This window comes from Homo sapiens, chromosome 8, assembly GCF_000001405.40.
Source record: "Homo sapiens chromosome 8, GRCh38.p14 Primary Assembly".
NCBI lineage: Eukaryota > Metazoa > Chordata > Mammalia > Primates > Hominidae > Homo > Homo sapiens.
In genome coordinates this window covers 91,992,434-92,017,993 of record NC_000008.11, presented here as the reverse complement: position 1 = coordinate 92,017,993, position 25,560 = coordinate 91,992,434, and the positions used below count along the sequence as shown (strand labels likewise).

General features: G+C 38.1%; 1 protein-coding gene across 27 annotated transcripts in view; it reads left to right on the top strand.

The window, feature by feature from the left end:
- The window catches only part of RUNX1T1 (RUNX1 partner transcriptional co-repressor 1), a 148,419-nt gene that overhangs the window by 85,392 nt on the left and 37,467 nt on the right, over nt 1–25,560 (top strand). For 22 of the 27 annotated variants that reach the window (XR_007060758.1, XM_047422373.1, XM_024447318.2 and 19 more), the window contains 4 exons: nt 631–768; nt 3,174–3,415; nt 6,903–6,992; nt 12,697–12,878. Coding sequence is in view for 26 of the 27 variants with exons in the window: in XM_047422373.1 (XP_047278329.1) it covers nt 631–768; nt 3,174–3,415; nt 6,903–6,992; nt 12,697–12,878 (652 nt within the window). In the remaining variant the exon portion in view is untranslated. Of the gene's footprint in view, nt 1–313; nt 769–3,173; nt 3,416–6,902; nt 6,993–12,696; nt 12,879–21,768; nt 23,508–24,259; nt 24,979–25,560 lie in introns of those variants that run through there. The other 5 variants (XM_017013936.2, NM_175636.2, XM_017013940.2 and 2 more) reach the window with 5 other exon arrangements.

Genomic DNA, 25,560 nt, shown 5'->3' with positions numbered 1-25,560 from the left:
ATAAATTTACACCTTTTAAGTAAATAATAGTTTCACTTCATTGTATAACACATTTCACCTATGTAGCAGTGATTTTTAAAACAGGGCAGGAAAAATTGAAATGCGAAATATGCCTGGAAGACGATAACCTATTTCATCTAATAGGCCAGAAAACTAAGGACAGCACAGGGATGGCAGGTGTAAGAGAAAATCATTACAAAGAGCTGGCTCCTACCAGTATCTCACCTGCATAACAGACTTCAGGTTTTTGTTATTTCTGAGCTGTCATGAGGGGTTCATTATCATCCCACTTCCTCATCTATTTTCTACCTCTTGCTAACATTGGCTTCAGCTTCCAGTGCAGTTGTGCTGCTGCATATAACACTACCAAGGTAGCATCTGCCTAAGCCAGAAATAACAATAGGATATAATATAACCTAGTTACAAATGAGGTCCTGCCATCTGTGCTATACCTTCTTAAGTGGGGTTTGGATGATAAAATCCTGATTTAAACGTCAGTAGATAAGTGTATTTTATTGATAGAAGATGTTGAATTTCTTCTGTTCACTTGCTTTTAAAAAAGATAAACCCCACTTGAAAAACTGAGGTGCTTAAGGAGTAAAATAATATGTTCCTGGTGGCATCCTCCAGATCGTACTGAGAAGCACTCCACAATGCCAGACTCACCTGTGGATGTGAAGACGCAATCTAGGCTGACTCCTCCAACAATGCCACCTCCCCCAACTACTCAAGGAGCTCCAAGAACCAGTTCATTTACACCGACAACGTGTAAGTAGTCATTTCAGGCTTTTGAGTTTCAGTTTTAAAGTTTAAATTAAATTTTTTTCTGCAAATGAAAAATCAAGGGAAAATAAAATTCAGCATCAATGTATTATGCAGAAATGAACCAAAAAAAATCATTTGTTTGCCAGTAAGTAGGTACTGAGCACAGAAGTATCATAGCTTAGGTCTAATTTGTGTGACTGCCAATATTTGCCTTCCTTTTCATTATTGCTTCGAAGTTGCAGTCTGCTATGATTTTAGCAAATGAAGCAGCATTTGGTCTGTAATTCCAGTTGTTACCACTGTAACTTCTAATTCATCTTAATGTGGAGCTCTTTATTTTAGTTTGTTCAGCATGACTTGGAACATGGAAATGTGCTATTATTATTTCTAGGTTACTTCTTCTAACACCATTTTCATCTATTTCAAGTGGTTACAAATAATGTTAAAATATAATATCCTTGTGTTAAAAAGGGTATTGATATGCAACAATATCATACAGAAAACTTTCTGAAGTGAGAAGTGCCTTTCTTGCCCTTTTTTTTGGGTGGAGGGGGAGGACAGAATCTCGCTCTGTCACCCAGGCTGGAGTGCAGTGGCACGATCTCAGCTCACTGCAACCTCTGCCTCCCAAGTTCAAGCGATTCTCCTGCCTCAGCCTCCTGAGTAGCTGGGATTACAGTCATGCGCCACTGAGCCCAGCTAATTTTCATATTTTTAGTAGATACGGGGTTTCACCATGTTGGTCAGGCTGGTCTTGAACTTCCGACCTCGTGATGCTCCCACCTCGGCCTCCCAAAGTGCTGGGATTACAGGCGTGAGCCACCGCACCCGGTCGTGTCTTTCTTGTCTTGAACCTGTCAGACTCTTATTAAAACTTTACTCCATTCCTGCTTGGCTCAAGTTCTGAGTTCTCTCAATAGAGTGTATTGCTTTCAGTACAGTCCAAAGGAAAGGATAGAGAATTCTGACAGAATTGCAACTTCCCATTCTTTCCTGTGTATTTCATTAGGGATAGTGAGTAACTGTTTTAATAAATCTCAAAGTCCTGGTTGAAATTGTCATCAAGGAATTGTGAAACTAATAAATGTTATCGGTTGCAGCTATTTTGCACACCATGTGCCATGAAATCCATATGAATGAAAAATAACTAAAAGGCAAAAGTAGATCTTTGGGACTATAAGGGATTAGCAAAGTACGCATCTCAGGCTGTTTATGCAGTGTTGCACTGCCATTTAAAAGACCTTTCCAAATGTGTAAGGAGCAGGTGACTGTGCAATGCCAAGTTGTAACCGTGTCATCTTATATTTGGTTTGTTGTTACCCAAAGCCACAGGGGTAAGCATATGTCTCCTGTGAGATGTCCTGGTGAGCTGGCATTTCTTGACAGGTTATTATGATACTCAGTTGTGACAAGAGAACCATTTTATTATGTCAAAATTGAACTTTTAAGCATAACATGGTCTTTAAAACATTTTCAAACTATATCAAAATTATATTAAAAAGATGGGTTTGATAAAGGTCTGCTTATCAAATTAATTGACTTAACATGATAAAATCAACATTTTCTTTAATGCAAACGATGCAGATTTTTAATTCTAGTTCTTATGGATTATCAACTTTTTGCTTTCTTTTTATGTACTTATTAATGTACATATTAATGGGTTACAGAGTGACAGGGATTATCGTCTTGATGTTCAAACAAATTTTATCAGAAATGAATTTACTGAATTATCACCACTCCATGCTCTTGGCTGGATTTAGGTGTCCCTTTTTGATTTCTTGAAGTAACTCCTTGTTAAACACCATATCCATTTTGGCTTTGTACATAAAATATGCATTTTTCCTAAAGAAGTGGTTAAGAAGTATGAGGGGGAGAAAATAGCCTTCTAATTGGGTGGTGGAAGGTTAAAACTTGAAAGTCCTATTCCTATAAACACAGCTGTCAGTTGTGTGTACAAAACATGATTAAAAATGTTCAATGATAAATTTAGTCTCCACCAAATGTACACTTTCTCTAGGGGAGCAGTTTGGAAAGGAATAGTCCTGTTATATTGATGTAAGCCTGCGACAAAAAGCTGACATCCGAAGCTGTCTGTTCTATTTTTGAAACATTTCAGGTGGTTGGCATATGTGCACATGGGAGGCAGGGCTGGCCCTGGGTTGCAGCAGACTCCATTTATTGTCAGCCTCTGTGCAGGATACCATCACTCAGTATGAGGAGTAGACCCATTTAGTTATAGAGTACCTGAGAATGTAGTAACCCTGTGAAGTCCAAGCATTTTTAAAAAGTCCCAACATTTAAAAACTTATAAAACTAGTAGATGTAAAAGGTAGGAAACTTGGTGGCAATTTCCTCATGCATGTTCTCTGTAAGTTTATGACTTCCTTCTGATTTTGTGCTCTTGACAGTAACTAATGGCACGAGCCATTCTCCTACAGCCTTGAATGGCGCCCCCTCACCACCCAATGGCTTCAGCAATGGGCCTTCCTCTTCTTCCTCCTCCTCTCTGGCTAATCAACAGCTGCCCCCAGCCTGTGGTGCCAGGCAACTCAGCAAGCTGAAAAGGTTCCTTACTACCCTGCAGCAGTTTGGCAATGACATTTCACCCGAGATAGGAGAAAGAGTTCGCACCCTCGTTCTGGGACTAGTGGTAAGCAAATGGAAACCAACCCAGTTTTCTTGGTGTAAGGGATAGTGTGGGTGGGAGACTCAGACATGTAGACACCGTTCTCGCAAGTATTTTGTTATAATAGTTTCTACATCTGAAGATTGTGTGCAAGTCTGATTCATGCTATAGTGACAGTCTTTTAAATTCTGCATTATATATTGACCCCACCAGAGTTTTTTTTCTCACTGTTTGACTAATAAAGATATGGTTATACAAATTTATTGTTATATTGGCCATAAACATGTTATATATATAAATGTGTGTGTGTGTGTGTGTGTATGTGCACGTGTATTTCAGTATTTCAGTAAGTACACTTTCCTGGCATGCCTAGTGGTTTTCAATGATGACAAAATGGTTTTGTTATGTTGAGTCACTCAATCTAATTGGATGCTCATTTTAATTTCATTGCTTTAGTGGATTTTTATCATTGGCCCAGATGAACAAGAATTTGTAACAACACATTCTTCTTTTATCTAGTGTCATTTTTAAGATGAATAACATTGAAATTTTTTATTGTGGTAAAATATACATACAGTTCATCATTTTAACCATTTTTAAGTGTACAGTTTGGTGGCATTATGTATATTCACATTGCTGTATAGCCACCACCACTGTCCATCTCCAGAACTTTTTCATCACCTCAATCCGAAACCTTCTGTATTCATAAAACAGTAACTCCTCATCTCTTTTATCCCCAGCTCCTGGTAAACGCTAATTCTTTTTTGTTAAAAAAAATAAATCTTTGTTATAGGTAGAATTACCGAAACCACTAGTTTGAGAAGAGAACTGTTGGTTTTTGCATATTACACTACGTTCTGCACATTGTCACACTAGAAAATAGAACATATATCTTTTTTTGCGTTCTAAGTCACTTTTCCATGTGTTGTGATTTTCTGTAGAAGTGGAGGATTTTCGAGTATTTAGGAAGGCTAGTCTCCCATATCAAACTGAGTCACGGAGAAGCTATGAATCGTATATGCAGTTCTTTCATTGTCCAGGGTTATGGTCGTCTCCACTTTCTTGAAATAGATTATTTATTTTTATTATATGGACCTATCAGGGGCAAAGCCATACCAGTTGTGTTTTGCAAAAGAAGTTTCAGAATTAGAAGTCTGGGTAAGAGACTAGCTCAGAAGACATGCTTCAAATCACTATATCCCACATTTGACAGAGATTTTGCAATTTAATTTTTAACCATTAACTGCCTCTCCTCCCTACTCCAAGAACAAAAGACTTCCATGTTTCTCACAGTCCATCAGCTCCACCTCATAAACTTCCAAGACAGGAAGGTGATTTTCACAAAAGGTGTGTTGGCATACTTCAGATACTTTTGTCAGTCACTTATCTTTTCCTTTTTATTCATTCTTGAATTTGCATAATAAGCTTTTTTAACATGTAAATAAGTTAGACCAAGGAACCACAAAGTAAATCCAAAGTAATAATTGTATCAAGTAAATGGTGAATGTGTTGTTCTTAGCAAAATTTTTTTTTTTTGAAAATTGCCTTATAAATTTGACATGTTCTTTATTAACAGTGGTTCCATAATTGAAAATGCAGAAAAACTTGGTAGCTTTAAGTAGATTTTTCCCAAGTGGCATACTTTTGCGTGAAATACTTTTAAAAAATATATTTTTTAAAATCTAAAAGCCTAGAGAGGAAAATAGGGGAGGACATTAATTCATTATAACTTGCATATAATAGGCAGTAAATATTCATTGAGTAGCAGACTTCTGTTAAACATTTGGCTTACAAGCCATTTTACATAATTCTCAGGACTACCATTTGAGAGAGTGATTTTTTTTTTTTTTGAGGGAGTGATTTTTATACACATTTGACACATGGGCAAACTGAGGTTATAGAGGTTAAGTAAAATATGCAAGGCCACCCAACTGGTAGTGACAGATTTGAACCTAGGTACTAAATCATGCTGATGCTTAGGTGGAGTTAAGAAAATGTTAGGAAGTACTGTCTTTTTTGTTTTTTCTTTTAAACATTTTTTTTTAGTAATTTTTTTGAGACAGGGTCTTTCTCTGTCACCCATACCCGTTCTCTGTCACCCAATGCATTCGCATCGGTGCCAGCAAGGCTCACCGCAGCCTTGACCTTCCAAGCATAAGCAATCCTCCCTTCCCAGCCTCCCCTGAAACTAGAGGCACACACCACCACACCTGGCTAATTTTTTTGTGACATCATCTCACTTTGATGCTCTGGCTGGTCTCAAACTCCTGGGCTCAAGTGACACTCCCACCTTGGCCTCCCAAAGCTACTGGGATTACAGGCGTGAGCCACTGCACTGGACCGGAAGTACTGTCCTTTTGAAAAGGAGTCATAGAAACAAAATGATAGATTTTAAAAAATTGGCTCCTTGACATTTATTGTTACACATAGGAAGTTATTGTTTATTCATAGTTTCATATGAAGATGTTTTGAGTGTGGGGGTATGAAGAACTTAGAACTTGGTGCTCGTGTACTTTGTTATAAAAGGAAACATGCACAAAAAAGTGGGTGGAGCAATATTGTAATGACGTTAGGTCACAAATTCCCAAATTTTGTCAGTCATCAGAATTATTGAAGGGACTGAAGAAGTTGAGAATGAGTTGTGATCCTGCCTGAGAAACTAAAGAAAACGAATGAAATGAGGGTTAATTTACTCAATGCCTTTATAATTGCTTTGTTGTTCATTAAGTAGATGCTTTTACCAACACACATTATCTATTGTAGGATACAAATCCTGAGTATTTGGGGCTTGTTTTTTTATATAAGGTAGGTTAGAAGTGAATCTGAGTTAATTTTGCTTAGTCTTGTTTGGGTCAAGCAGTTGCCTCTAGGATAAGTGGAATGTCTTCGATAATTGGGATTTTTCTTTCACCTTCTACAAAACTCATTGACTCACAGAAGGGTCAAACCTTTTCTTTGGCTTTATTGGCATAGCACACTACCCAACTTTGATGTTCACCCTGAGCAAAGATGCTTTGGCAGACAAAGAAAGAATACAAGATGGAAATACAGGAGGAGGAGAAGAATATTTCCACCAGCAGTAGTGCTGATGTGACACGTGGGATAAATCTTGACTGAGAATTCTGACACTTGCCCTCGGTCCTTTAAGTGATCTGTTATGCTTTTAAATACATCCAAGTGTGTTTGTTTTCCATAAAGGCAATATTAGAAGATTCTTCATAATTGCAAAGACTTCTCTGATAATTAAACCATGCTAGTGATCATGCACATTATCCTCAAAGTACTATACATAATGTGTTTCATTTTCAGATGTAGGTTTTAGAAGTGAGTGATGCAATAAACTGTGTGATCATTTTTACAAAGTCAATAGGTTTTATTGAAAATACTGGTTTCTGTCAGTATGTTTGCTTGTTATTACACTGTGTTGTACCAGTCTTAATAATTAATTTGTTTGTGTTTTTACTATTTACCAACAGGCTAATGTATTTATACTACATATTTTCTTCCATAGAACTCCACTTTGACAATTGAAGAATTTCATTCCAAACTGCAAGAAGCTACTAACTTCCCACTGAGACCTTTTGTCATCCCATTTTTGAAGGTATTGCACAGTTCACTGGTCTGTAAAGTATTTTAAACCATATTGTTGCTAGGTCATAACTGTGTGCTTTTTTAGTACATTTAGGGGCTCTTTGATTTAATTTAATGGATGAAAACTATCTGAATCGATTGTATTTATGACCATTTCCTAAGTAGTCTGAAAATTACAAGGAGTGTTTTAAATAATTACCTGAAAAGAAGTAAAGTTTGAAGAAGAGTTTAGAAGTCTCTTTGAATAAAGGTTTTGTTCATTTTTTTGGTCATATGAGATATGTTATTTTACATTTTGCTTGTCTTTAGAGTGAACAGAAGATTGGTTGAGCTTTGTAGTTGTTCAGGATTTTTTTATCCTCCTAATTTTATCTTTGTAACAACTTAACGGGAAGATCAGACCGTCATCCTTTTGTGCCAGTGAAGAAGTTGGGAGTAAGTGACATGTCCAAGGTGTGCCTGGCTGAGGACTGATTGAGGTGTGGGATTCGAAATGGTTTTTAAGTCTCTGCTGTGAGCTTTCTGTCTCCTCCAACTGCTGCCGCTTCAGTAAAGCAACTGGAAAACAAACAAACACAAAGTTCACAAGAGAAAGAAGGAACATTTTTATTCAGCATAGCGGGTAGTTAATTCACTGATGGATACTAAAATAACTGGTAGTTTTGGTAGAAAAGCAGATTACTAAGATCCCTTTTACTTGGGTAAGCATATTGCTTGGGCATAGTGGATTCTCAATAAGTTTATACTAACAGTGGGCTTAGCAGATTGATAAATGTGAAAGTTTCATTTGCACTCCCCTTTGAAGGTCACTTTCAAAATGAGCACTCAAGGAAGCCTCTGATTTAATTATTTGCCAAGGAGGATTTACCTTTCTGTCTGGTTCCTAGAACTTTGTTTGGGAGACACCAGAAATATAACTGATCAGATCCTGTGTGAAATTTCATCTATTTTTAAAACTGTATCAGACACATAAGGTTCAAGTAAGTATCCAGAAGCCTAGAAAGGTTTGTCTGAAATGAGCCCCAATTCTGAACTTTCTGGATATTAGTCTTTCCTGTTGTTATTATTAAGGTGAAATGAAATATTCTGCTTTGTGAGTACCTACAAACCAGAAATTAGATCTGTTTGTGTGGAAACCCAGATTACAATTATATTCTTTTCGTTCTTTTCTAAGTTGTACATTTAAGGTTAAAGGTATAATGTGTTAGTGTTTTCTCCCAAAATGGCTTATACTATAATACTATATTCTTATTTAAAAGCAAATTGTTTGTTGAACAATTTGAACAAGTTTGTTGAGACTAGAATCTTTGCCTTTCTCAGAAAGCGTTGTTTTCTGTAAAGATTTCATCATATGAATGCCATTTCCTGTGCAAATACCACTGGTTTCTGTGCTAAAAAAGAAAAAAAAAAAAAGAAGAAGAAGAAAGAAAAAATAGGCTCCTTTCAGGGTCAAGTTGGCAGCCAAAAAAAATTTAAAAAGCTTACAAGGACACTTCCAGATTCTTCTATCACTGCTGCACACCATATGGTTACCATATCATTTAGTTGGGATCATTGGAATCAAAGATATAACTTTTTTTTCTAATTTTAGTGCTTTTCCTCAAAGGAGACATTAATGACAAAAACCATATGGTTGTGGGAACTCGGGCCTTAATAAGTGCATTCAAACACTGCTGTAACAATATGCATTAAAGTCTTGTTTTCATTAAGCTAATGTAACCCGCAGACCCTCTATTCCATTTTGCATTTATGGAGAAACATTTACTGGAAGGATATTAGACACCATTCTAATTACCTAATCTGGCACCAGAATTAGAGCAAACAAAATTGCTTTGTATTACCATATTTTTTAAATTGGAAGAAGATGTTTATGGAATCGCTAAATTAAACTGAGTACCACGTGTGGAAGCCTCTTGTCTTGTACCATCCATACGTTTAAATTTGAAACTGGAGGCATGCATGTTTCCCATTAGTCACTCAGCTGTGTGGCAATGAATGTATTAAACATGAGGTTAGGAGCCTACCAAAACACAGATAAGATGAATTCTAAAGAAAACTTCTTCAGTGAAAGCAGTCATAGATACAGCATCTTTTCTTATTAGTATCTTAATTTTTAGACATCAATGAAAAAGTTTATGCTTTAACCACACCCAATTTCTATAGTCTCTTTTGTGAAAATATATTTGCTTCATCCTGAAACTAAGAAATTGCTATCTATCTATAACACATAGCCAAATAAATGTGCATTTTATAACTTCTCTCCAGAAGTACTATTTAATGTATCTTAAAAATCAACTCTTGTACTGAATATATTAAGGCTGTTTCTGGATGGGAGCCAGCGAATGCTTTGCCAAAAGACATCTGCACACAAGATGTCCAGCCTGTGAGTCAATTCTCCTGATTATCATTCAGGAATTTGTCTCTCTGAGCTGGCATAACTATGTTTGCCTGCTTGGTTCAATATTGCTGGCATTCTTAACAGAAGGAATATGATTGTTTTAGAAAGGTCTCTATATGTTCAGATAGAGCCTTTACCTGAGGTCCCAGCTGACTCTATTTAATACAGAATGGCACATAGTCTCGTGTGTGTGTGTGTGTGTGTGTGTGTGTGTGTGTGTGTGTGAGAGAGAGAGAGAGAGAGAGATATGTGGCACCCAAATAATTCTTTTTGATAAGAAGAATGTGGGAGACAGTATTAGTAAAGTCAAGCAACAGTCTTCACTTCCCCCCCGCTTCCTCATCGTTCTGAATATCATGCTCTGCTAATAGAGTCCTGAAGATACTGTTTTTTGTCTCCTCATTTGTTACTCCATTTCTTGTTCTAGGATTTCTTATCTTTGGGATCCCTAAAGAACCAAGAGCAGAGAGCTTTGCAGTGTATTGTTTTGGACAATTTAAATCTTATGCATATACAGTCATGTGCTACATATAATGTTTCAGACAATGATGGACTGCATGTACAATGGTAGTCCCATAAGATTATAAATCATATTTTTATTGTGTCCTTTTCTTTTTCTTTCTTTCTTTTTTTTTTTTTTTTTTTTGAAACAAAGTCTCGCTCTGTTACCCAGGCTGGAGTGCAGTGGCACGGTCATGGCTCATTGGAGCCTCGACCTCTTGGGTTCAAACAGTCCTCTCACTTTAGCCTCCCAATAGCAGGGACTATAGGCATGGGCCACTGCATCCAACCGATTTTGTATTTTTTGTAGAGATGAGGTTTCACCATGTTGCCCAGGCTGGTCTCAAACTCCTGGGCTTAAGTGACCTGCCTGCCTTGACCTCCTGAAGTGTTTTTCTATGGTCAGAGATGTAAATACTTGTCATTGTGCTATAGTTGCCTACAGTATTCAGTACAGTACATGCTGTACATGTTTATAGCCTAGGAGCCGTAGACTATACCATATATTCTAGGTGTGTAGTACTAGGTTTAAGTACCCGCTTTTGATGTTTGCGTGACGAAATCATGTAACAATGCATCTCTCAGAATGCATCCCCATTGTTAATCAGTGCATGACTGTACTTCAGAATGATTTTTTTTTTTTTTAATTAGACTGAGTCTCGCTCTGTTGCCCAGGCAAGTGTGGTGGTATAATCTCGGCTCACTGCAACCTCCATCTCCTGGTTTCAAGCTATTCTCTTGCCTCAGACTCCCACGTAGCTGGGATTACAGGTGCGTGCCACCACACCCAGCTAATTGTTTGTGTTTTTAGTAGGAATGGGGTTTCACCATGTTGGCCAGGCTGGTCTTGAACTCCTGACCTCAAGTGATACACCCACCTCAGCCTCTGGAAGTGCTGGGATTACAGGCGTGAGCAAGCCACTACACCCAGCCCAGGATGAATTTTAAAAACTTTAAAAATGTTCACATAGAAATGTTATTTTTGCTTTATTATTTTATGACACAAGGTATCTAAGCTCTCTCTTTACTGAGGACAAAAAATAGTTTAAAAAATATATACAATATATTACCCACATGTTCATCTTTACTAATTACAAAGAGTTTAATTTTAGCATTGTTATCCTGTAGGAAGTCATTTCCATTGTTACAGTGTATGGCATGCATTTATCTTTAGCAAATATCCTAGTATTTTATATCTTGTGTAGAAATATGCTTTGGTGTGATTATGAGATGGTTTCTTGATTAATACTCTTAGAAAACTGACTTGAGGGCGGTTGGTGGGTGAGGGGAGAGAAAGCATTAGGACAAATAGCTAACATATATGGGGCTTAAAACCTAGATAATGGGTTGATAGGTGCAACAAACGACCATGGCACACATCTACTTATGTAACAAACCTCCACACTCTGCACCTGTATCCTGGAACTCAAAAAAAAAAAAAAAGTTAAAAGGAGTTCTTCAGAGTAAAGGAAAATGATATAGGCCAGAAACTTGGCTCTACATAAAGAAATAAAGAGCACTGAAGGAAAAAAAAAATGAATTTGAGGTACAAGTAGCCAGCCGTAGTTCCTGTCCATGATTCTCTAGAAGGCTATTTTTTAAGGCTGTTGGGCCCAAAAATTGAGGCAGCTGGGACCTCTCCTGTATTCAGAAATGCTTTTCTACCTGATGGGTTAATCGGTGTACATGGCACCTGGTTCCTACAAATGAAATCTTCAAGTTGCAAAGAGATTTATGTGATTGATCTTTCCTGGAATTAAGTGTGATTGGGGATGAGTGCTGTTCACTCTTCCCAGTATCTTCTCCTTTCCTCTCCCTTACTGCCCCTCCCCAAACAATAATAAAAATAAGAGAAAGAGAAAGCAATGACAATCTGGATTTATAATGTCAAAGTAAGTTCAGAGTAAAATGCCTTCTTAGGTTTTCATTTTAATGCCTTTACTATGTGTGAAATTGCCTCTTTCTCTCTTATTACATTTGAAATTGCCAGAATTACCGATCAGCCTATCAACCAGCCCGTTCTTTATTCAAGGTGCTGACCTAGCTGAGGAGGAAGAGTGACCAGTATACAGGATTTCTTCTAACATTAGAAGAAATATGTGTGTGTGTGTGTGTGTGTGTGTGTGTATTCATTCCTTAGAATAAGACTGATACAAAGAAGGCAGTTTACTTTTGTAGACTACTAGAATATACTGCTTTATGCATTAATTCCATCTGGGATATGTGACTGTACCCAGGCCATTACTTAACTATTGTCTGAACTTGATGACTATGGAAAATAATCTCTATGTTCATGTCTATATTTTTAAGTGTATTTTCATTAAGTTAGTACTTGACAAAAGATATTTTCTGGGATTAGCCTGCTTGACCTTTGTGAGTCACCAGATACAAAATTGAGTGTGTCAGGGAAACTATTCTGAAATTAATTGGACTGTGTATATATTTTTTATACCCTCTATCTTCCCTGTGGAGAACAAAAGTTCTTATGATTGGAGCTAGGTTCTCACATACCGTAGAACATACATTCAAGTATAAAGGGACCCTAAAAATAATGTGCCACTTGCAATGTTATCAGTGAAGAAATAAAAGAGAGGTAAAGTGATGTACAAGGGTCAGTCACCTCACACTTAGGGCAATCTGCGCACATGGTAGCCCAGTGCTGAGAATTGTGCCTGTGGTTCCAGCCCATGGCATGCATTTGACCTTTGATGTAGCTGCATTGCATACTCTTCTCCAGTGTTCGAAAAGCAGAGTAAGTCAACAGGACAGAAGAAAACTTTCAGTCCGTCCTCTCATTCCTGTCATTCCCTTGCAGGCCAACTTGCCCCTGCTGCAGCGTGAGCTCCTCCACTGCGCAAGACTGGCCAAACAGAACCCTGCCCAGTACCTCGCCCAGCATGAACAGCTGCTTCTGGATGCCAGCACCACCTCACCTGTTGACTCCTCAGAGCTGCTTCTCGATGTGAACGAAAACGGGAAGAGGCGAACTCCAGACAGGTGAGAGGGAGGAGGAGCCTGGATGAACCATGACCTTTTTCCCATACCTGTGGCATGAGGAAACATTTCATGTCACAATTAAACCGCTGGCCTATGTCATTCTTGCACAATAGCAATAAGCCATTGTGGCCATCTTGAGAATCTGGCTCTGGCCTGGGATTTTACAGAGTTTTGAATCTCTGGCCTGGGACAGTTTGGCTTTTGTGTAGGTTAATCTTTTCTGCTTGTAGTATTAAAGCGAAATGGTGAAGACGAATGATTTTTCTGATTTGCCAAGTACCACTGATGGCTCTTAGATGCACATCAATATTAAAATTCTCATTCATTATGTAATTTAACCCAACCACATATTTTACTTCAATATTCTGAAATTGGCTGTTCCTAGTTTCCTTAAAATGTGATGGTTTGGAAGCTTGTCTGTATGTATTTCTTAACACAGTACAGTAGTTATTTGTTTTGGTTTGTATATGAACTAAGAGAAAACTTCTGGGACACTAGATGAACTGAGTGAAGATAAGAGTTATACAGTAGAGACAATAGATGGTATTTTTGCTGAAAATTTTACTTGTTAGATACTGTTCTATCAGATACTGTGCTCTCATAACTAAGAATTCTAAGAAATGTAAAATAAAACCACTTCTCCATTAAACCCTACAGAGTAATTGTTGAATAAAGCATACACATGAAATTTCCCATTTACCGTAGTAAAATAATTTTTATGAATACCTCATCCTCATCTATAATTATCTTCTGATATAGGAATGCAAAGTCTTATTAGCATCATTTTGCATAGTGTTTTTGAAATATGGAGAATTTTACAATGAAACTATATTCAAAAACTTATTTAGCATATACTTTGCTTTCTTTCTCTGCTTATCTGTTCTCTTTTGCTGCATTTCATCAGGCATGGGTATAACAGCCTTTGAGAGGTTAACACCCTGACACAGTTATGTTCCACATTCATAGGAGCTTAAGATCTTTGGAGCTGCTCAGAGACATCTATTTGTGACTGACTTAGCTATCCTTAAATGTATTAGCTGCTTTGCAAATCAGAATGTTATTTAAAAGCCAGCCAGTTTACATACTGTTATTACATAATCCTCTGTTAAGCAGTTTTTATGCTACAATCTCTGTAATTTTGTTCCCCTTGACATAGAACCTCTTAATAGTTTAAAATTCCTAAAGCAAACAGTTAAATATTAGTCCCCTTTTGACGTATTGTAGGCCTACCTTCATATATGACCTACAAACAGAGCTACTTTCTTATTCTTGCAAATCATATTTTGTTGGTCACATTTAAGAGTAAAATAGAGCACTTAGTGCTTTAGCTTTTAAAGGGAACTGCTTAATCCTGATGCCTGAGTGGCATGTCCACATGATGCTGAAAACCAAGAGGTGGCTCAACAATAGGTGATTTACATGTGCATTCCTGTTTGACCTGAACTGATTTACCCTGCAGAAAATGAGTATGACATACAGATACTGAGATGTTTTAGCTCCATGGTAAAAGAATGAAGGAGAGACTCGATGGAAAATTGGAAGAAGGAAATTTATTTAGGGTTGTTGGGGTGGAGGAGAGTGTAACAGGGAAAGATTTAGATAGCTAAGATAAATGTAGAGATGATCCTGCAGGCAAAATTGAAAATGGACACAACTTACTCTGGCATTCTGAACTGCTAAATAACCATAACAGGGAATATGAAAATCTGTTTCATTCATTTCTCTGTATTTCCAGCTATTTTCCCACCAGCTCTTTCCCAGTATTTCATATTTGAATGTATTGTGACTTTTGACTATCCTTGCACAGTCTTAAGGTAAGTGCTGGGCAGTATGTTAACACTGATATGAAAACTTCATCTTAAATTCCACAGAGGCTCAGCATTCTTGTTTTGATGCTCTGTCGCTGTGCATGCATCAGTGTATGCATTCAGTCAGGTAGAACTCTCCTAAAAAGAGTCTTTGGTCTGATTTTCCCTTTGGTTTTTCATGGATGGTTGCCAGAGTCAGAGTTCACATGGTTAATCTTTGGATGGAACATTCTTTATCAAATGGGGCACTGAAATATACATTATATCTCAAAGATGGCAAATGGGTTTCCTTAGAGTTAGGAGGAAGGGTAATGAGAATATGTTGTGTAAATACATTTGTATCTTGTGGGAATTTGATCAGAGCCAAGAAAATATGGGCCTCTACAGTATTTTTTCTTTTTGCATATATTTTCTGCATCTTGTTTGCATATGCATTTTCCTCTTCTCTGGTTATTTATCTGTATATCCAGATCTACTATATGAAATTTTATAGAGTATGGAGCTGTCTGACAGCAGAGCTTTTTTTGTTTTACTGAATGTTTTGTTGGTGCATATGGTCTGACATGGATGAGCAGCCACGGTGAGATTTTGGAGTCTATTAAACTGGCTCATTAAAAAGATCAATCTGTTTCTGTAATAACACTGGGAGCCATCAGTCACTAAAAGAGGGAAAAACTGACACCTGAGGAGAAAACACATTTTGGTAATTTGTTCATGACATGTCATGAACAAAAGAGCGCTCTATATTTTGTTTACAACTTTGGGAGCTTAAATTCTGTGACGATTGCTGAGTTAATGTACTAAACAGTCATCATGTGTTTCAGGGATGGGTTTTGGCAAATTTAACTTTCTTCTTGTCCTTAAATATGATTGTCACTGGTTATGTTTTTTTTCTTTAAACATTATTGTTATTTACAGAGAAATGAGTACTCTAGGGAAGTCTATGAAATTGTTTTTTGTTTTTTGTTTTTTGTTCCTGTATGGAACAGTGAAATGTTTTCTACTTTCTTTTAAATGTAGCTCTGGGGAGTGTCTCTGAACAAGTGTTACTGATTTTGTAGGTCTGTGAGAGAATATTGTAGAACCCAAAGTAGAAAAAGATAATTTTTATTATAAAATTATGTTATTTCTTTCCTAAAATATTAGGGAAAGTAAGTAGAAAATTCTGATTTCTATTCTTTGTTAATATGTAAACGTCATTTATAGTAAACATTTATTCTTTTACCATTCTGTGGTGGGAGATGCTGAAGAAAGGAATGTGATCGTTTGTTTTGGAGCCATGTAAACGAAATGAACACTCTTACAGATAGAGAGTAGAAGCTAAGAGCCCTCTTTAAAACTGCTCACCGTGGTGACTCGTAAAGACACAAGCACTTTTGTGTAGGAAGAGGGAAAAGAACTGTTAGATAATGCTTTCTTTCTTTGAGACTGCAGAATGGATTAAAATTATTAAGATTTAAAGAAAATAATTGTGTTAGGATGATTATCATTGCTGTCTTTCTTTTCTCAGAGCTTTGATATCACAGCTTTTCGATCTAATTTGCCTTCAGTATTGTGTTCTCACCTGTTATGCTACTTTTCTGGTTTAGGATTTTTCTTGCTTAAGAAATCAAACCAAATAATCTTTGCTTTTGTGTGGGTAACATGGTTGTTTTGTTTCCCATTTTGTACCCCCTACTATCTCAAATGATGGATGTTAAGTATGAATCCCCTTCTTATATGCCATTATTTTAATGTAATTATGCTTTACATTACTCTCAGTTTAACGCTTCTAAACTTTCAATGCAAAGGCCATGTAGTTGGATTAATATGTATTTCCTCCTCCCCCAAGGGTTAAACATTATTCTCTAAAAATAATTGGTTGAACTTCAGAGTTATGTAATTTGTCAGCTGGGAGGGATCTTATAGATACACCAGGCCCCATTCTTTTTATGTTTTTTTTCCTTAGGCATGGTCTGCAATGTTGCCCAAGCTGGTCTCAAACTCCTGGGCTCATGTGATCCTCCCACCTTGGCCTCCCAAAGTGTTGAGATTATAGGCATGAGCCACCACACCCTGCCTTTTTACATTTCATACCAAAACAAAAAAATCACACATATTTTAAATTTATGGATTTGCTCATGGGATGTTATCTGTATTTTTTTTTTTAAGACAGTGTCTCGCTATGTTGCCCAGGCTGGTCTTAAACTCCTGGGCCCATGTGAACCTGCTGCCTCAGGCTCCTGAGTAGCTAGGACTACAGGTATGCACCACCACACCCAGCTGGCCCCCATCTTTTTATTCTTGCACAAACTAAGGCCCAAATAAATTGCCTAATGTTGCAAAGCTTCTTAGTGGAGAAACAAGCATATTTGCATACTTGAAATCTTCCAGTTGCATAAAATATGTTTTAATGTGCAGAATTTAAATAAGGAAACTCAACTAAGACTTAAGCTTCTCTTTTTTCACCTTACTTTCCCTCATTTATTTTCTATAGTTGCTCAAGTGGGTAGATGCCATAGTATAACATTCTGAGGTTTTATATATATTTTTAACGACAGAAGAGCCACAGCTAGCCTGTGTTCCTGGCTTAATGAGTCAGTTAGAAAATGCTGAAGGTTGGAGGATCAAAGGCAATCATTTTAAAATCATGTTGGTTGTATTTGTGAGATTTGTTATGACAGTACACACCAACTAAACTGAATAGGTCCATTTTTTTGTTTCTGTAAAATGAAAGAGATTTCACTATTTTTATCTTTCTAAAAGAAAAAATAGATACACTTTACAAGGAATTGTAGGGTCAGTTGTGCAAATAAGAATTAAATTTGTATAACCTGCATTCGGTTTTCTATGAAAAAAATGTAGGGATTTTATGACACATTTATTTATTCTAGTTTGTGTTGCATCTATTATGTATTCCACAGTTGCAAGGAGTGATTTTTAAAAATATTAATCACATCAATTGGGAGGCCTTTCAGTGAAATAGCACAAAATTACATTTATTTATTTTTATTTATTTATTTTTTTTGAGATGAAGTTTCACCCTTGTTGCCCAGGCTGGAGTGACTGATCTGGGCTCACTGCAACCTCCACCTCCTGGGTTCAAGCAATTCTCCTGTCTCAGCCTCCCAAGTAGAGAGGTATCAGATGCCTGCCACCATGCCCGGCTAATTTTTTGTATTTTTACCAGAGACGGGGTTTCACCATATTGGCCAGGCCGGTCTCAAACTCCTGACCTCAGGTGATCCACCCATCTCGGCCTCCCAAAGTGCTGGGATTACAGGCATGAGCCACTGTACCGAGCCACAAAATTACATTTATATGTTAAAGATAACACAGTTGTACGGGGCATTTTGTTCTCTCCACATTCCAGCTTCAACTTTAACTTGTTAGCCTGATTTCTTGCTGCTTTGTTAGGGTCTAACTTTACTGCATACTCCTCACGCCTTAGTCTCTATTCCAGCTGATGGTTTCTGCTGTCTTTCCTAATTCTTATATGCCATAATTCTATTAATACCTCATGGCCTAACTCAGTATCTACTATTTGAATGAAAGCTTCCCAATTATAAATAATATAATAATGGTTACTATTTACTGAACACTTCAGATATGCTGGGCCCTGTGCTAAATAATTGACAGACTAACATATAGCACTTCTTTCCTCACTATCCTATGACATAGATTCCAGAAGGCCAAATAATGTGTGTGAAGTCACATGGCTTGTCAGAAGCCCTAATGGGATTCTAACCCTGGGTTCTCAGACTCAAATGCCCATGCTCTCATAGCCGTGATTCTGTATCATCAGCCTCTGAATGCCCCTGCTTGAAAACAAAATGCTTTGATTAACTTATTGAATGCCAAATTCATGTTAGGTTCTTTTCTTAGATTCTTTCCTATAGTTCTCTCCATAGCTTTGAGATAATCATTTCCCATTTTGCAGGCAGAAACACTGAGGCTCTTAGAGGATTAAGCCTCTTGAGTTTATATGGCCAGCAAATAGCAGAGCCACAATTTGAAGCCATCTCTATGTGACTCCAAAACCTCTGTCCTTATGAGTACACATTCTGGAGTAATCTCTCATTCTGCTCTCACATACCACATTTGTTCTGTTTTTAATGGTACCTTCTGTATACATGTCCTGTATGAAAGTATAGAAGTCTTGTAGCTCCAATTAAATCATTTTAATGGTAAAGAATTAAAGTCTGCCCTAAATAATAATCTTATGGAAGGTTGAGGGACCATGTTTCTCTCATCTTTGTACTGCCACTGAAGTGCAGGATAGTGCATTACACATACTGGGGACCTAAAACAAAGCAAAACACTACAAACAGAACAAAAACCACTATTGAACAAATAATTCAAATTAAACTTAATGCAGTCATTTTTAGTAGTGTATTAAATGGTCTCTCTTCCAGGCATCTTTATTTTTTTGTTTAGTTAAAAAATGCATCTCTGAAATACAATAAAAACAGCCACAGACAGCCCAGGAACCAAATGCTGTGATTGGTTCACTGACCAGAAAAAACTGGAGGGCTCCAATAGAAACATACAGGTGACAGATTCGAATAAGAAAGCAGAGTTCCAAACAGCAGGAGCAGCAAAAATTGAATGCTTCAGCAGTGGCAGAGATTAGAAAAGGCAAGGGAAACAGCCAGTAACAGCCTAACTGTTGAGCAGATGGTCAGCTTCAGACACGTGACGGAAGCATTCCACCTTCTCGCTGCTGGAGGGAAGGCTCAGATGGCTCCCCCAACCTGCATATTGCAATCCTTGAAGGTCTGGGCATCACGTTTGTGTGTCTGGAGTGGCACGTATCCATCTGCCTCTTACTTACTTCTAAAGGTATTAGCACACTGCTCAGAAAGTTCTCACTGCTAGGTGGTTGTTTAGCAATGGAGAGATTAAAGGTGCTTCTCTCCACCTGGCCCAATAATGATGGTCCTGTGGCATTCAGCTCTCTGTTCTTCATCATCTAAATGTCCCCCTCCCTCTAGAGTGATAGCAAAACAGAGAAACCACTGCAGGTTGTCATGAAGAATTAGGTTTGATTTTCTTTTTAAGGACGCTGGGGAATTTGTAATGTATTTTGTTTCAATACCTTATTCAATACCAATAAAAGTGTGTTACGTGAAATTCATATCTAAAGTCACCTCTTTCCTAACAATTCCTGAAGAGATCTTTTGCTGAATTATGTTTTAAAAATAATGATGATGAGAGTGATTTTCCCCCCCTTGATTCAATGTCTAGTCATTCTATGGCAATCTTAACAAACTGCACGTGTTAGAAAAGGAAAGGAAGATGTGTTTGATGTTATTAATGTCTTTGGTCTGCGTTTAATAGAACTACCTTCCTAAGATTTAGATACAGACTTCTAAAATATAAGAATAAAATAAAGTAAGTCTCCAGACTTCTAAAATATAAGAATAAAATAAAGTAAGTCTTCAATGCCTGGTCTTAAAAGAATTTTAGACCCAGTGTCTCACTCTTACTCATTTTTCAAGGAGCTACAGTCTAGGGATGGGACTTGGCTGGGCTGTGGAGACAAACAGCAAACAAATCTGGGGGCCTGTGGCTCTGGGGGATACTGGCAAAGTGGGACCATGGTGTGACAAGGGCCAAGATAAAGGTATCCTGGGGCAAGAAGGAGGGACCCGTATAGAGATGCTTGAGATCAGCAATAGGACTTGGATTTGGAAAAGAAAGTTGTAGAGTGACTTCAAGTTTCTACTCGGGTGACTAGGTAGAAGATGGTACAGAAAGCAAAAGAGAAATGAGGCCAGTTTGGACTTGTGAAATGTCTGTCGAAACTCAGATAAGTGAGTGTGTAAGGCACATAATTTATTTAAATAAATAAATGACAGGATGAATATTAGAAATTAAGTTTCTTCTTTCTTAGGTTTATTGTGCTCTACCAATTTGCCTTCCCCTAAAACAATATTTATAGTGGTAGTTCCTCACATTAAAAAAAATGTTAATGTAGAGAAAAAAACTTACACCCGCTTCTGCCATGTAGATTTGTCCTCTTGTTCTACTTATGTCATGATTTTATGATGGATTTTTTCATACTTCCCCGTTTCCTTGAATGTTATACACTGTTTTATATAAATGTTACTAAAGGGATTACCAGCACACACTAGCTAATCATCATCTTAAAAATATTTCATGTAGAGTTTTTGTTTTTATTTATTTTTATTTTTTCCTTGAGATGGAGTCTCGCTCTGTCACCTAGGCTGGAGTGCAGTGGCGCGATCTTGGTTCGTTGCAACCTCTGTGCCTCAGGTTCAAGTGATTTTTTTGCTTCAGCCTTCAGAGTAGCTGGGAATACAGGCATGCTCCACCATGCCTGGCTAATTTTTTTTTTTTTTTCTTAGTAGAGACGGGGTTTCACCATGTCGGCCAGGCTGGTCTCAAGCTCCTGACCTCAAGTGATCCACCTACCTCACCCTCCCAAAGTGCTGAGATTACAGGCATGAGCCACTGCGTCCAGCCTCATGTAGTTTTTAAAGGACATTTATTTTCTTTTCCTAATAGTTTACAGTTTCTGTTATTGAGGAGCTGGAAAAAAAAAAAGAGCCTGAGATAGGGTAAAGTATAAATTAGGTTGTCTCTTAATTTGTTAGTCCCATTTCACTGAGCAGAATACTGAAGCCAGAAAGTTAAGTAACTGGAGATCACACGGCTGAGTCCTAAGGATCCCCTGAGCTTAGAACATTAAACCTCGAGAGAGAAGTGATTGGGATCTAAATGTTGAAGTGGTTAGATTGTGTTGAGGAAAATGTCTCCTGGTAAGGAGATATAACATCCTCAGGTAGACTTAAAAAACAAATAAGCCGGGCGCTGTGGCTCACGCCTGTAATCCCAGCACTTTGGGAGGCCGAGGCGGGCGGATCGCGAGGTCAGGATATCGAGACCATCCTGGCTAACAGGGTGAAACCCCGTCTCTACTAAAAATACAAAAAGTTAGCCAGGCGTGGTGGCGGGCGCCTGTAGTCCCAGCTACTCAGGAGGCTGAGGCAGGAGAATGGTGTGAACCCAGGAGGTGGAGCTTGCAGTGAGCCAAGATTGCACCACTGCACTCCAGGCTGGGCGACAGAGCGAGACTCTGTCTCAAAAAAAGTAAAAATAAAAATAAAAAAAATAAAAAACAAATAAAATAAAACTTTCAGAAATCCTTAAGACATAATACAGTTACCTCTCACTTCAGATTTCTACTAGAATTTGAGTTATTTCAAGGGTATACTGGTATGGGACAATGAAAAGTCTTCGCTAATTTTGCCTGATACACTGAAAAGGGCAATGAAGAATGCAAATATGGAGTTCAACCGAGCAAATGAGATATAGGTAGTTGTAGGCATTTCTAAGAAGCAGACAGACAAATGGCAATTAATTGTTTGAGTTACCCTTCTGAACATACATGCTTTGAATAGAACTGGCCTTGTAAGTAGACATTAGTAATTTGAGGAAGCACCAGAGAGATCCTTCATAGCTTTATTTTTGTGGACAGTGAAAGTTTTTGTGTTTTCTTTTTTTCCCCTTTTTTTTGAGACAGGGTCTCACTCTGTTGCTCAGGCTGGAGTGCAGTGGTGTGATCATGGCTCACTGCAGCCTCAATCTCTTGGGCTCAAGTGATCCTCCTGCCCCAGCTTCTGGAGTAGTTAGAACTATGGGTGTATGTCACCATGTCCAGCCAACTTTTTGATTTTTGTAGAGACAGGGTCTCACTGTGTTGCCCAGGCTGGTCTTAAACTCCTGGGCTCAAACAGTCCTTCCTCCTGAGCCTTCCAAAGTGCCAGGACTACAGGTATTAGTCACTACACCCCTGCAAGTGTTAATGTTTCACAACTGTTAGAATGTAAACTATCCTTATGAGGTGATGAGCTTTTATTATTTCAGTAGCTAGCAGGGTGATGGGCCCCAGGATAGGACAGTAAGACCTGATTGAAGTGAGAGAACAGACTCAGGCCCTAGCCTGCCTTTTAGGACATTACTGCCCTTGCTTTAGAAAAAAAATGCTTTTTACCTCCCATTTAATTGGGTCATTGAAGTAATAGCACTGAACAAAGGGTTTATCTAAGGATGAAGATAAATTGTGTATCTAACCATTTAAGAATTATTAAAATTACTCCAGTGTTGTTGTTTTTGCCTTCATTGATCAAGGAGAGAGAAAACTAGTAAGTTGGGGTGGTTTGACCCAAATCAGTCAAAGATGTTTCATTATTTAGAAATTCTGCAGGGGCTGCCCTAAGATAAGAGGATATTTTCTAATTTTTGCACAAAAAATAAGGTATAAATAATAAATTGTTCAAACCAAGGAATGGAGAACTTGGCTAAGGTGGTTGCCTTAGATACTTATGGTTTGGCCAGAGGACTATCAGCACTGTGTGTTTTGATCTGCATAACTATGGCATTTAGTTGTAAATATAGAATACTTGAATTGCAGAGTTTGCAAACTAGAAGGGACTGCAGAAATCATCTAGTCCAGTGGTTTTCAAACTTGATTTTAGCCGCAGACTTTTTCCTTTAAAAATGAAATCTTAGGTGGAACCCCAGTGATTGAAACAAATAATAAGAAGTGGGTTCCTCTGGCACTTTAAATCTTGAGAATCTTGATTGTTTTGGGGAAAAGTTCTTCATTGCCTACCTTCAGCACCTCAGGTGGCACAGTTTGAAAACCACTGATCTAGTCCAACCCTTTCATTTTACAGATGAATAAACTGAGGTCCAGAGAGGTTAAGTGACTTGACCAAGGTCACACAGCTAGTCATGGAAGAGCCAGGACTAGATCTCAGGTCTCTTGATTCCCAGTCCAGTGCTCTTTCCACTACACCACAATGCCAGTAAGGTAGGTGCTGTGTTAGCATTACGTTCATAGCCACTAATAGTCTTCAGTATTTTCCAGCTGATTTATGCTGATAATATGCATTGAATATTGAAGTGTATTTTTTAGAAATTTGTGGGATATGCAAATACAGATTAGAATCACATGGGTATATTCTTAGATGATAAATCAGTATCTAGAATGTTTCAGTTTACTTTTAAAAATTATTTTAAAGCAATGCAATTAGGTAATGTCTGAGCTACATTGGATATTTTAGTCTGATATCAGTGATCAATATGTAAGGAGTCAGTATGTTTTAGTGTAGACACATACTTTGAAGGGAGCAGCATTAGGACTCCTGGCCACCACTCCCTTGGGGGCCATGCTTTGCCATCATTTCCAATATTGGCCAGTCTATTCAGAATAGTGCATCCCTCTTAGTATGTAGTGGGCATGTTCTTCAACATTAAGCTCTGCAGATTTACCCTCAGTTTTTTTGTTGTTGTTGTTGTTGTTTTAAGAAAGAGTTTTGAGTTTGTTGCCCAGGCTGTAGTGCAGTGGCACAATCTCGGCTCACTGCATCTTCCGCCTCTGGGGTTCAAGTGATTCTCCTGCCTCAGCCTCCCGAGCAACTGAGACTACAGGCATGCACCACTACACCCGGCTACTTTTTGTATATTTAGTAGAGGCGAGGTTTCACAGTGTTGGCCAGGCTAGTCTCGAATTCCTGACCTCAGGTGATCCTCCCGCCTCGGCCTCGCAAAGTGCTGGGATTACAGGTGTGAGTCACTGCACCTGGCCTCATGTAGAGTTTTTAAAGGACATTTATTTTCTTTCTGTAATAGTTTACAGCTTCTGTTATTGAGGAGCTGGGGGGAAAAAAGCCTGAGATAGGGTAAAGTATAAATTAGATTGCCTCTTAATTTGTTTTTACAAATGTTGTTTCCTATCAGTCCCATTTTACTGAGCAGAATATTGAAGCCAGAAAGTTAAGTAACTGGAGGTCACACGGCTGAGTCCTAAGGGTCCCCTGCCCGCTCCATAATAGTGCATCCTTCTTAGTATGTAGTGGGCATGTTCTTTAACATAAAACTCTGAAGATTTACCCTCAGTTCTTTCTATGCCTATACCTTCTGTCTCTAAGTCCTTTATTCTTCTCAACCTGGTGTGTATGAATTGTCACTGGGGCGCCCACCCTAAAGGGCCATAAAGGATGGTTCATTGTAGAATCCTGTTGCCCCTGATTATCTCTGTTGTTGATTCAGTTTCCACCTGAATTGCTCTAGTGTTAGCAGACAAAGACTGGATGCCATCACTAGATGCCGGGAAAGTAGAAGAAGTGCCTCTATGCTGTTGTTTTACTATCTAAAATAAAGAAGGCATGTAGATGTCTGCAGCCACTGTGAACTGGTAGAATTCTTATGAGAAAACGTCCCTGGGAAAATAGATGTTACCACCTGTCTAAAGATAAGAGTGCTGGTCTTGTAAGTAAAAAGTAAGTTTGGGAGCAGTGATTAGTCAAATTTGAATATGGTTTGTTTCTATCTTATTGAATATATTAGGGGCTAGTCTCTATGCAGTAGAAATATATACAGCCAGAAATTACTGCTTTACTCCTACTTTTATTTGAGAATCAAGGAATCGTGACTAGTTATCAGGTCTTATTTATAGAATGCATTCCTTCTGAAAGCCAAGTTTAGAGTTCTGTGCATCACCTGATGGTGTGTCGTCAGGGTGTTCCCGTCCTGCCATGTGACCTGATAACCCCAGACAGGATACATTAGCTCTCTGGGTATGTGTTTCCTCAACTTTAAAATAAGGGGGTTGACCTAGATCTTCCTTCTAGGCCAGGCTAGCTCTGTATGACTGCTGATTGATTACCTTGGTGACTCAAGATAATGTCAGGGTCCCAGACATTGCATTGCATACGGTATTTGCTCAGTTTGATCCTTACTTTCCTATAGAACTTTCTGTGATGATGGAAATGTTATGTATCTGTGCAGTCCACTACTGAAGCCACTGGCCAAGCGTACCTGTTGAGCACATGAAATGTGGCTAGTGATACTGAAGAACTGAA